Source organism: Homo sapiens, chromosome 3, assembly GCF_000001405.40.
Source record: "Homo sapiens chromosome 3, GRCh38.p14 Primary Assembly".
NCBI lineage: Eukaryota > Metazoa > Chordata > Mammalia > Primates > Hominidae > Homo > Homo sapiens.
The window spans coordinates 43,974,251-43,988,173 of NC_000003.12; positions in this window are offsets into that span (position 1 = coordinate 43,974,251).

Here is a 13,923-nt window from a genome sequence, read left to right on the forward strand (position 1 = left end):
CTCTTAAAGCTATAAACATTCTAATTCATAGCTCCTTACTTGTCTAACAATTGCTCCTTAATTACCTAGAATATTTTGTTTATGAACAAAACTTTATTTCTCTCCAAATGGATAGCAAATTATCTTAACCATGTTTACTAAGTAGTCCATACCTTTGTCACTGAATTAAACGTATCATCTTTTTCTTATACAAAATTCTAATTCATACGAATTTGTATCTGAAACTCCCTTTTCTGATTTGATTACTTTGTTTATTCCTGGGCTATCACGACACTTTTAATTACAAAAGCTTTACAGTATGTTTTGGCATTTGGGATGCTTCATTGTTTTTCTTCTTCAAAGATATGTCCTGACTCTTCTTACTTATTTTCCATTCCAGATTAATTTTCAAATCGTTTGTCAATTTCCAAGGCAAATCCTGTTGGGGTTTTGTTTGAATTTATATGAAGCTTATAGACTAATTCATTGAAAATAAACATCTCTATTACACTAGATCTTCCTATCCAATAACATAGTATGTCACTTTATTAATTCACATCTTTTAAATATTTCAGTGAAGTTTTATAAACTACATATAGATTTTATACAACTTTTGTTGGATTTATTTCAAATAATTTTATTGTTTATGCTGTTATTGTAACTGAGATTTTTCAAAATTTCACTCTTTATTATTGCTGGTGTAAAGGAATGCTACTGATATTTTTGCTGTTATTCTATGTGGCAAATTTGCTGGACGCTCTTATTAACTTGAATAAATTTGAAAGCAGACAGTGTAAGCAAAATAACTGAAAAAATAACTTCCAATACCCATAAATATAACCTTAACAGAAAGTAGTTTCTTGAGATGGAATCTACTCCTGCTGAAGATGCTGTGAATATTGTTGAAATGACAACAAAGGATTTAGAATATTACATTAAATTAGCTGATAAAGCAGCAGCAGGGTTTGAGAGGACTGACTCCAAGTTTGAAAGAAATTCTACAGTATCACATGCTACAGAGAAATCTTTTGTGAGAGGAAGAGTGAATTGATGTGGCAAACTTCACTGTTGTCTTATTTTAAGAAATTGCCACAGCCACCTCACCCTTCAGCAACCACCATGATCAGTCAGCAGCCATCAACACTGAGGCAAAACCTTCCACCAGCAAAAAGATGATGACTCACTGAAGGCTCAGATGGCTGTTAGCATTTTTTTTGTTTAGCAATAAAGTGTTTTTAAATTAAGGTATGCACACTGTCTTTTAGACATAATACTATTGCACACTTAATAATCTACATATAATGTAAACATAACTTTCATATGCAGTGGGAAACCAAAAAATTTGTGTGGCCCATTTTATTGCAATATTTGCTTTATTGCAGTGGTCTGGAACAAACCCACAATATCTCCAATGTATGCCTGTATTAGTTTTTCTCTGCTGTGTAACAAATTATCACAAACTTAGTGGTTTAAAACCACACAAATGTAACATCATCTCACAATTTCTGTGGGTTAGGAGTCCAAGCATTGTTCTGCTGGTTCCTTTGCTCAAGGTGTACAATCAAGATGCAGGCCAGGGCTGCAGTCCCTCTGGAGCTTGGTGTCCTCTTCCAGTATCATTCAGCTCGTTGGCAGAACTCAGTTCCTTGCAGCAGCAGAACTCATAGTGGCTTCTGTCTTTGAGGTCAGAAGGAAAGCATCTGCTTCAGCTTGAGTCAAGGAGACCTCTGCCTCTGACCTCTAGACCTAGATATGATTAGTTCAAGTTCACCCAAGAGAATCCCCTTTTTGATAAACTCAGAGTCAACTGATTAGGGACCTTAATTACATCTTTGCTATACAGTGGAACCTATAGGATTGTGGGAGTTTTATTCCATCATGTTTATAAGTCCTACTCACACTCAAGGGGAGAGAATTATATGGTGTATTATACCAGGGGGTGGAAATAATATTTGTTGTCCCTATTTTGTCTCCTCATGTCCTCATTCTGGCTCCCTCTCCCGCCCCTTCCAAAGTTTCTCTGCCAAAGGTCACTTGAACTCCTAATAACCACACATTAGCATTCCTTCAACCAGGAGGGAAATACAGCTTTTGTCCCTATTCCTTCAAGGGTAAGTTTGTTTTTTGTTTGTTTTTATTTTGAATTTCACTCTTTTTCTGCTCCCCCCACACCCCCCCTTTCTTTTAGACAGAGTCTCATTTTGTCACCCAGACTGGAGTACAGTGGTGTGATCTCAGCTCACTACAACCTCCACCTCCCTGGTTCAAACGATTCTTGTCTCAGACTCCCAAGTAGCTGGGATTACAGGTGTGCATCACCTCACCCAGCTAATTTTTGTATTTTTAGTAGAGAACGGGTTTCACCACGTTGACCAGGCTGGTCTCGAACTCCTGGGCTCAAGTGATCTGCCTGCCTCAGCCTCCTAAGGTGCTGGGATTACAGTCGTGAGCTACAGTGTGCCCGGCCTGCCCCACCTTTTTCTGTAAGTTTTGGATTGTTAATCTTATTCTAACTCTTTATTATCACCTTTCCCAAGTCATTTTGTTTTAGGTATATCTATTATAAACAATACATATCTAGTTTTGATTTTTTTAAGCCAATTAATTTTGAAATGGGTGACTTTCAGGTGAATTTAAGCCATTCACAATTGTTTTGATTACTGATACGTTTGGAGTTCATCTTGTTTTCTCTTTACCATACATTTTTATTCTTTCTGTTTTCCTATTCTTTTATTGACTTGATTGCATTTTCTTTGATCCATCTTTTCTCCTGTAATAATCTGGAAGAAAAAAACCCTGTTTTTCTAGTGAGCGTTCTTAAATCATAATACACAATTAAATTTGTATTTGTCTACTAATTGTTAGAAAGATTCACTGTCTATATCCTCACTCTAAGAAGACAATAATGTTGCCATGGTTTCACTTTCTGACTCTCATTCTCATCCTCTGGTTTACCTCCTCTATTGATACCACCCAGGAGACTAGCACTAGCTAATTTATTTTATTTTATTTTATTTTTGAAATGGAGTCTTGCTGTGTCACCCAGGCTGGAGAGCAGTGGCACAATCCTGGCTGACTGCAATCTCTGCCTTCTGGGTTCAAGTTACTCTCCTGCCTCAGCCTCCCGAGTAGCTGGGATTACAGGCACCCACCACGACGCCCGGCATTTTTAGTAGAGACGGGTTTTCATCATGTTGGCCAGGCTGGTCTCCAACTCCTGACATCAGAAAATCCATCTGCCTCAGCCTCCCAAAGTGTTGGGATTACAGGTGTGAGTCACCGTGCCCAGCCGCCCCAGATAATTATTAATGTCTTTCTCTCCCTGGCTTTTTTTTTCAACCAGTTGTTATTTACACCCAGCAATAAATTTTACTAGGGAATTTTAGTCACCACTGCTTTTTGGATCCTATTTCTTTTTCTTTGATTTTTTTTTCTTCATGTAAGAAAACAGCTTTCAGGACTTTTTTTCACAGAGCACCTGAGGCTGGTAAACTGCATCTCCAAAAATGTCATCATTTCAATCACACACTTACTTGAGAGTTTGGCAATCTATGTTTAGAACCTTCCAAACCACACCACCTCACCCTGCTGACTAAAATTCTGTGAGTTTAATTGATGTTACTCTTCACAGTGTGTTTCCTGAAAAGTGCTCCCATTCTCACATCAGTGTTGATCCCTTCAAAGGCTCTCAGAAAACACTTTTCATTTGAGTAGGAAATGGATTTTGAACATATGCAAAGAATGCTGACATCCTCCCACCTTTACTACCGCTACTTCCACCTGCACATCTTCAGGGCTGAAAAGGAAAAGGAGGAGCCATTTTTCAGTCTAAATGGGCTCCCATTTTTACAGCCACATAACTCTACATGCTTAAGGCCAAGTTTTCACATCAAGCAAATTAGGGGTAATTTTTTGCTTTATAAAAGTTATTCTTTGTTGTGCAAAAGGATTCAATGCAATTTTCTTTTTAATAAGCAAGTTCTCTAGTACATTTCAAATACGATTCCATTTCCAACAATTCATCTGGCTTTTTTTTAAAAAAAGGAATACATCATTGTATAAAACCTGTAAAACAGGTATGCCTAAAATTTGCTATTTATAGGTTTTTATGTCTTTGAAGCTCAAGGATGAAATCCTATAAATTCATACAAGATATTAGAGGACCTGCTTATGGTTTCTGGACAGGGAATCTCCCACTGAGTTGTTCAGATGAAAGAAAGCAAAATAGAGGAAAATCAGAAGCTACGCTGAGACTTTATAATCTATATTCATTCTCTATTTTTGATAATGTCATTTTTGGGGACAGATATTGTCGTCATTACAGTTTTGCAAAACAATAGCTATAACAGATAATTTAACTTGAACTTCTGGAGCCATCTTCCTTCCTAAAGATTTTCAGGTGAGAAATCCTTTTGTGCCCACTTAACAACCCAGGAAATCAAGGTCTCAAAGACTGAGGAGCCGCCCAGGGTGACAGATTTATCTAAGTGACCACTGTGGAACACATAGCCAAGGACCTGACATCTATTTGGTGCTCAATAAATAATTGTTAACCAAAGAAGCTGAGTCTTTTTTCCAGCCAGTTTTGTAGACTTTTCACTTTGTTATGCTGCCTCCCAGCTCATCAGGAAGTACTCATTAGCACAAACTACTAGTGAGGGACTAACTGCATGGCAGGTCGGAAGGTTGGCCTCCTGTTGATGTTATTTGTGCATAAAAATGCAACCCACACACACAACTTCTCAATGTGCTCAGGCTGGTCAGTTAAGTTAAATGTCTTTCCCGGGAGTGGTATGGGGGTGACTTTTCACATATGACCAGACAGTGCTGGCTTCATGACAGCATGCAACCTGTTTTGTTGTGCTCAGAGGGGCTTTGTGCTTGGTTTGATGCTCTGCTTTCTCTGCTTTAAAATTCTTAATAAGTTTTAAACAAAGGGCTCTGCCTTTTGGTTTTGCCCTGGACCCCATACATGATGTAGCCAACCCTGTGGACAGAGACCGATCTTGGAAAAAAGAAGTTAAGCCATTTTATATGAGTGATACTTACATGGGTAAGATTTTCAAATGTCATATGAAGAAAACTTTTATTGCAAAATACGGAATATTCTCTGTAGTAAGAGAAGAGGGTGAATATTTGTCACAGGGCAACACTCCAGAACCTTTTATCGTCCCACTTTGAATGTGAAAGATTCTTTGGAATTCTCTAGTCCACCTGCTCTGATTACGGACAGCAGACCTCCCGAAGTGGCCCAAGAAGTCCATGCCCATGCAACTGGCTAGGGGCGAATCCCAGGGCTCCTGTGTTCTCATGCTGCCCATATTGCATCACGGTCTCAGTATCAGAAAGCAGTAGGTCAAAGAATACAGTTTCTGTCCTTTTGATGGGGTAGGCATAGAGATTTTAAAAAATGATTTTAATAATTGTACTTTATCTTTGCAATAGTACAGCAATATTAGTGAAAGCTAAAACTATCCAAACAGCCAAAGAAATTTGAAGAAAAAAAAAGAAGTCAGTTTTCACTTGGCCCACATATTTGTGTTTGAGAAGGCAAGTCAATGAGACTGGCAAGGCCCACACAACCTTGCTAAGGGCAGATCCCAGGGCTCCTGGGTCTTAATGCTGCCCATATTGTATCACGGTCTCAGTAACAGAAAGCGGTAGGTCAAAGCATATATCAGAATTTCATTGCTTTTTAAGACTGAATAATATTCAATTTATGTACATACTACATTTTGTTTATGCACTTTTCCGTTGATGGACATTTGAGTTGTGAATAATGCTGCTATGAACACCCATGTACAGGTATGTGATTGTTTTAGTCCTTGCTTTCAATTCTTTTGAATATATGCTTAAAGGTGGAATTGCTGCTATTCACTGAGGGCAATATTGTCTTCAGTGACCACAAGTGGCCAGATGAAGAGACGACACTTCCTGAGCAAAGCATTGATATTCCTTGGCTATTTTTGTTCCTATCATCATATGGTGGCAAAAAAATATATACCTTCTAATTGATGCAGCAGGAAACCTGGGTGAAATAGATTCAAGTTGCCCAAAGTAAACAAAACAAAATTGGGATCGGGTAGGGATGAGGAAGGAACTCTTGACAGTGAGCCATCATAAGCTGCATGGAAACAAACACTTTAGTCATACAGGATAAATACTTCTAAAAAATCAAACCATAAGCTTTTTTTTGCATAAATTTTATTGTGATAAAATATACATAACTTTTTTTTTTTTTACCATTTTAACCATTGTTAAGTTTACAGTTCAGTGGCATCACAACATTCACAGTGTTGTACAGCTATCACCACTAACCATTTCTGGAACTATTTTTTATCATCCCAAACTGAAACTCTGTACACGTTAAAAAATAACCTCCATACCCTCCTCTCTCCAGTTAGTGGGCATTTGTTTATTCTAGGTATTTTATATATGTGGAATCATACAATATTTGTCCTTTTGTGTCTGGCTTAATTCACTTAGCATAATGTTTTTAAGGTTCATCCACGTTGTAGCATATGTTAGAATTTCATTGCTTTTTAAAAACTGAATAATGTTCAATTTATATACATACTACATTTTGTTTATCCATTCTTCTGTTGATGGACATTTGAGTTGTGAATAATCCTGCTATGAACACAGAAATACAAGTATCTAATTGTTTGAGTCCTTGCTTTCAATTATTTTGAGCATATGCCTAGAGGTGGAATTGCTGCATCATCTGGTAGTTCTCTGTTTAATTTTTCTGAGGAACCACCACAGAGTATTGTTTTCCACGGCAGCTGCACCATTTTACATTTCCACCAGCGATGCACAAGGGTTCCAGTTTCTCTACATCCTTGCCACCTCTTATTATTTTTCTGTTTTTGGTTGTTATTGTTTTTTTTGATAATAGCCATTTTAATGGGTGTGAAGTGGTATCTCATGGTGATTTTGATTTGTATTTCCCTAATGACTAGTGCTGTTGAGCACCTTTTTGTTTGTTTATTGGCCACGTGTATAACTTCTTTAGTAAAATGTCCATCCAAGTCCTTTGCCTATTTTTTAATTGTATACATTTATGGAGTACAAAGTGTTGTTATGATATAGGTATACAATATGGAATGATTAAATCAAGCAAATTAACATGTCTATCACCTCAAATACTTAATTTTTTGTGGTGTGAACATTTGAAATTTACTGTTAGCAACTTTGAAATATACATCATTATTAACTATAGTCACCATGTTATGCAATGGATCTCAAACAACTTATTCCCCCTGTCTAACTGAAACTTTGTAACCCTTTGACCAACATCTCCCAATTCCCCTCACCCTTCACCCTCTGGTAACCTCCATTCTACTCTCTGCTTCTATGAGTCTGATTAATTTAGATTCCACATATAAGTGAGAAAATGTGGTTTTGTCCTTCTGTGCCTGGCTTACTTCACTTAGCATAATGCCTTTCAGGTTCATCCATGTTGTCATAAAAGACAGAATTTTCTTTTCTTTAAAGGGTGAATATTATTCCATTGTGAATATACATCACATTTTCTTTATCCATTCATCGATTGATAGATACTTAGATTTATTCCATATCTTAGCTATTGTGAATATTGTGGCTGAAATGAACATGAGAGTGCAGATATCTCTTTGACATACTAATTTCAAATCCTTTGGATACATACCCAGAAGTGGGACTGCTGGATCATATGGTAATTCTATTTTTAGATTTTCAAGAAAACTCCATACAGTTTTTCATAACAGCTGTACTAATTTACATTCCCACCAACAGTGTACAAGGGTACCTTTTCTCCACCTTCTCAACAATTATCTTCAGTTTTTTTTATAATAACTGTTCCGACAGGTTTGCGATGATATCTCGTTGTGGTTTTAATTTGCATTTTCCTAATGACTGGTGATATTAAACATTTTTTCATATATATGATGACCATTTGTATATCTTCTTTTGAGAAATGTCTATTCAGATCCTTTGCCTATTTTTAAAATCAAGTTATTTGTTTTCTTGCTGTTGAGTTCCTGATTTATTTTGAATATTAACCTCTTAATAGACATATGGCTTGCAAATATTTTCTCCCAATCCATAGGTGTCTCCTCATACTGTTGTTTCTGTTGCTATGCAGAAGCTTTTTGGTTTGATGTAATCCTATTTGTTTATTTTTGCTTGTGTTGCCTGTTCTATGTCAAACCTAAAAAATCATTGCCCAGACTAATGTTGTGTAGCTTTCCCACTATGTACTCTTGTAGTAATTTTATAGTTTCAGGTCTTAAGTTTTTAATCAATTTTGAGTTAACTTGTGTCTATGGTATGAGATAGGAGTCCTGCTTTATTCTTTTGCATGTGGATATACAGTTTCCTCAACACCATTATTGAAGAGACGTCCTTGTCCCATTGTGTATTCTTGGCACCTTTGTTGAAAACCAATTGACCATATTGACTATAGTCACTCTGTTGTGCTATCAAATAGTAGTCTTATTGGTTCTTTCTATTTGTTTGTACCCATTAACCATACCCACCTCCCCTCCAGCACCCCCACTACCATTCCCAGCCTCTGGTAACCATCTTTCTACTCTCTATGTCCATGAGTTCACCTGTTTTGATTTTTAGATCCCACAAACAAGTAAGAACATGTGATGTTTGTCTTTCTCTGCCTGGTATATTTCACTTAATATAATGATCTCTAGTTCCATCCATGCTGTTGCAAATGACTGGATCTCATTCTTTTTATGGCTGAATAGTACTCCATTGTTTATATGTACCACATTTTCTTTATCCATTCATCTGTTGATGAACCCTTAGGTTGCTTCCAAACCTTAGCTATTGTAAGCAGTGCTGCAACAAACATAGGAGTGTAGATATCTCTTAGATATACTGATTTCCTTTGTTTTGGGTATATACTCAGCAGTGGGGTTCTGTGATCATATGGTAGCTCTACCATACATGCATGAGTTCATTTCTGACTTTCTATTTTATTCCATTGGTCAGTGTGTCTATTTTTATGCCAGTATCTTTTTATTTTAATTACTATAGCTTTGTAATACAGTTTAAAACCAGGCAGTACGATGCCTCCGGTTTCATTCTTTTTGTTCAAGATTGTTTTGGCTATTCGGGGATTTTTTTGTATGGTTCTATATTAATTTTAGGATTTTTTTCCTATTCTTGTGAAAAAATGACATTGGAATTTTGATACAGATTGCCTTGAATCTGTAGATTGCTTTGGGTAGTATGGACATTTTAACAATATTAATTCTCCCAATCCATGAACATGGAATTTATTTCCATTTATTTGTGTCTTATTCCATTTATTTCATCAGAGTTTAATAGTTTTCAGTGTATAGATCTTTCACCTTCTTAGTTAGAATTCTTCCTAAGTATTTTTTGCAGCTATTATAAATGAAGTATTTTCTTAATTTCTTTTTCAGATAATTCATTGTTAATATATAGAAGCACTACTGATTTTGTGTATTGATTTTGTATCCTGTGACTATTCATTTATTAGTTCTAACAGTTGTTTAGTTGAGTCTTTAGAGGTTTCTATATATGAGATAATGTTGTCAGTAAACAGAGACAGTTTGACTTCATCCTTTCCTATTTGGATGCCTTTTATTTCTTTTTTTTTCCTTTTTTTTAATTTTTATTTTTATTTTAAGTTCCAGGATACATGTGCAGGATGTCCAGGTTTGTTACAATTGTAAATATGTGCCATAGTGGTTTGTTGCACCTATCAACCCATCACCTAGGTATTAAGCCCAGCATACATTAGCTGTTTTTCCTGATGCTCTCACACTTCCCACTCCACCCTCTGACAGGCCCCAGTGTGTGTTGTTCCCCTCCCTGTGTCAATGTGTTCTCATTGTTCAACTCCCACTTACAAGTGAGAACATGCTGTGTTTGGTTTTCTGTTCCTGTGTTAGTTTGCTGAGGATAATGACTTCCAGTTCCATCCATGTCCCTGCAAAGGACATGATGTCATTCCTTTTTATGGCTGCATAGTATTCCATGGTGTATCTGTACCACATTTTCTTTATCCAGTCTATCACTGATGGGCATTTGGGTTAATTACATGTCTTTGCTATTGTGAATAGTACTGCAATGAACATACACATGCATGTATCTTTGTAATAGAATGATTTATATTCCTGTGGGTATATACCCAGTAATGAGATTGCTGGGTCAAAGAGTACTTCTGGTTCTAGATCTTTGAGGAATTGCCACACCATCTTCCACAATGGTTGAACTAATTTACATTCTCACCAACAGTGTAAAAGTGTTCCTTTTTCTCCACAACCTTGCCAGCATCTGTTGTTTCTTGACTTTTTAATAATTACCATTCCGACTGGCACTAGAGGGTATCTCATTGTGGTTTTCATTTGCATTTTTCTAATGATCACTGATGTTGAGATTTTTTTCATATGTTTGTTGGCTGCATGAATGTCTTCTTTTGAGAAGCGTCTATTCATGTCCTTTGCCCATTTTTTGATGGAGTTTTTTTTTCTTATAAATTTAAGTTCCTTGTAGATTCTGGATATTAGACCTTTGTCAGATGGATAGATTGCAAAAATTTTCCCCCACTCTGTAGGTTGCCTGTCTGCTCTGATGATAGTTTCTTTTGCTGTGCAGAAGCTCTTTAGTTTAATGAGATCCCATTTGTCAACTTTGGTTTTGCTGCAATTGCTTTTGGCAATTTTGTCATGAAATCTTTGCCTGTGCCTACGTCCTGAATGGTACTGCCTAGATTTTCTTCTAGGGTTTTTATATTCTTGGGTTTTACATTTAAGTCTTTGATCCATCTTGAGTTATTTTTCATATAATGTGTAAGAAAGGGGTCCAGTCTCAATTTTCTGCATATTGAATACCTTTTCTTTCTCTTGCCTAATTGCTCTGCCTAGGACTTCCAATACTATTTTGAATAGAAGTGCTGAGAGTGGGTGCTACAGTTTGGATATGGTTTGTCCCTTCCAAAACTCATGTTGAAATCTGGTCCCCAGTATTGCAGTATTGGGAGGTAGGGCCTAGTGGGAGGTGTTTGAGTCATGAGAATGAATCCCTCATGAATTGATTAATGCCCTCCTGTAGGGGTAAATGAATTCTCACTCTCTTGGGGATTGGCTAGTTTTCCATGACAGGAAGTTGTTAAAAAGGAGTCTGGATCTTGGTTTTTCTCTCTTGCTTTCTTCCTCGCCATGTGATATCTTTGCACATGTCTGCTTGCCTTCCACTTTCTGTCATGAGTGGAAGCAGCATATGGCCCTCATCAGAAGCTGAGCAGATGCTGGCACAATGCTTCTTGTACTTCCCAGCCTGCAGAACCATGAGCTAAATAAACCTGTTTTCTTCATAAATTACCCAGCCTCAGGTATTTTGTTATAGCAATACAAAACAGACTAAGCCAGTGGGAATGCTTGTGTTGTTCCTGATCTTAAAGGAAAAGCTCAACTTTTTATCATTGAGTATAATGTTAGCTGTAGGCTTGTCATATATGGACTTTATTGTGTTAAGGCACATTCCTTTTATAATCTTTTGGGTTTTTATCATAAAAGGATGTTGAAATTTTTAAGTTGTTTTTCTATATCTAATAAGATGATCACATGATTATTGTCCTTCATTCTGTTAATGTGATGTATTGCATTTATTGATTTCCATATGTCAAATTATCCTTGCATCCCAGGGAAATCTTCCACTTGATCATGGTGAATGATCCTTTCATTGAGCTGTTGAATTCAGTTTGTTTGTTTGTTTTGTTTTGGATTTTTGTTGTTGTTGTTGTTTTTGAGTTGGAGTCTCTGTCTCCAGGCTGGAGTCTCTGTCTCCAGGCTGGAGTGCAGTGGCGTGATCTCAGCTCACTGCAACCTCCGACTCCCTCATTCAAGTGATTCTCCTGCCTCAGCCTCCTGAGTAGCTGGGATTACAGGCACGTGCCACCACCCCCAGCTATATTTTGTATTTTTAGTAGAGATGGGGTTTTGCCATGTTGGCCAGGATGGTCTCGATCTCCTGACCTTGTGATCCTCCCACTTCAGCCTCCCAAAGTGCTGGGATTATAGGCGTGAGCCACTGTGCCTGGCCGCTAGTATTTTTTTAATGATGTTTGTATCTATGTTCATCAGGGATAGTGGCCTATAATTTTCTTTTCTTGCAATGCCTTTGTCCTGCTTTGTAATTAGAATCATGCTGACCTCATAAAATGAGTTTGGAGAGTTTGGAAGTACTCCCTATCCTTCAATCTTTTGGGAAGAGTTTGAGAAGGATTGGCATTAGTTCTTCTTTAAATATTTGTGAGAATTCATCTGTAAAGCCATCAGGTCCAGGGCCTTTCTTTGATGGAAGATGTTTTATTAATGATTAAATCTCCCTACTTGTATTGGTCTGTTCAGATTTTAAATTTCTTCATAATTCAGTCTTGGTATCAGTTATAATGTCTCCTCTTTCCTTTCTGATTTTGGGTCTTCTCTCTCTTTCTTTAAGTTGGTCAAATAAAGGGTTTGTTGACTTTTTAAAAATCTTTTCAAAAAATCAGTTCTCAGTTTTGTTGATTTTTTTCTGTTGTTTTTCTAGACTCTATTTTATTTATTTCTGCTCTGATCTTTATTATTTACTTCCTTCTGCTAACTTTGGGCATAGTTTTTTATTTTTTCTGTAGTTCCTTAAGGTGTAATATTAGGTCGTTTATTTTAGATCTTTCCTCTTTTCTGATATAGGTGTGTATTGCTATGAACTTCCCTCTTGGGATTGATTTGCTGCAACCCTTAAGTTTAGGTATATTGTGTTTTCATTTTTGTTTGTCTCAAGATTTTTTTGATTTCCCCTTTGATTTCTTCTATCACCTATTGGTTGCTGAAGAGCATGTGTTTATGTGAAAATTCACATATTTGTGAATTTTCCAAGATCTCTCCTATTATTGATTTCTAGTTTAATATCAATGTGATCAGAAAAGATATCTGATATGATTTCAATACTTTCAAATTTTCTCTGACTTGCTTTGTGGGTTAATATATGATCTATCCTGAAGAATGTTCCATGCCTGCTTGTGAAGAATGTGCATTCTGTTGCTGTTGGATTGAATGTTCTATATATGTCTGCTAGATACATTGGGTTTTAAATGTAGTTCAAGTCCAATGTTTTCTTATAATTTTCTGTCTGGATTATCTGCTCATTATTGAAAGTAGGGTATTAAAGTTCTCTATTATTATTGCATTACAATCTATCTCTCCCTTCAGATCCTTTAAGATTTGCTGTATGTCTTCAGATGTTGGATGCATATACACACAATTGTTATATCGTCTTGATGAATTGACCCTTTTAGCATTATATAATGCCATTTTTGTCTCTTTTTGAAGTTTTTGACTTAACATCTATTTTGAATAATAAAAGTATAGCTACTCCTGCTGTCTTTTCATCTGCATTTGTGTGGAACATCATTTTCCATCCCTTCACTTTCAGTCTGTGGGTGTCCTTAAAAGTGCAGGGAGTCTCTCGTAGGCAGCATATAGTTGAGTCTTATTTGTTTATTCATTAAGTCATGAATTCAGTCTTTTGATGGGAGACTTTAATCCTTTTGCATTCAAAGTAATTATTCATAGGTAAGGATGTACCACTACCATTTTGCAATTTTTTTTCTGGTTGCTTTGTAGATACTTTCATTCTTCCTTTCCTGCAGTGGTTTGATTGCTTCTGTGGTGGTATGCTTTGAATCCTTTTTATGTTTTGTGCATGTACTACAGATTTTTACTTTGGTTTCCATGGAGCTTTTAAAAAAAAAAATCTTTAACAGGCAATTTTTCAAGCTGATAGCAATTTAATGTTGATTTCAACAACTCTACACTTTAATTCACCCACCCATTTTGTGTTTTTCTGTTTGTTTTTTACTTTTATTTTAGGTTCAGGGGTACATGCATAGGTTTGTTATATAGGTAAACATGTATCATGGGGGTTTGATATACA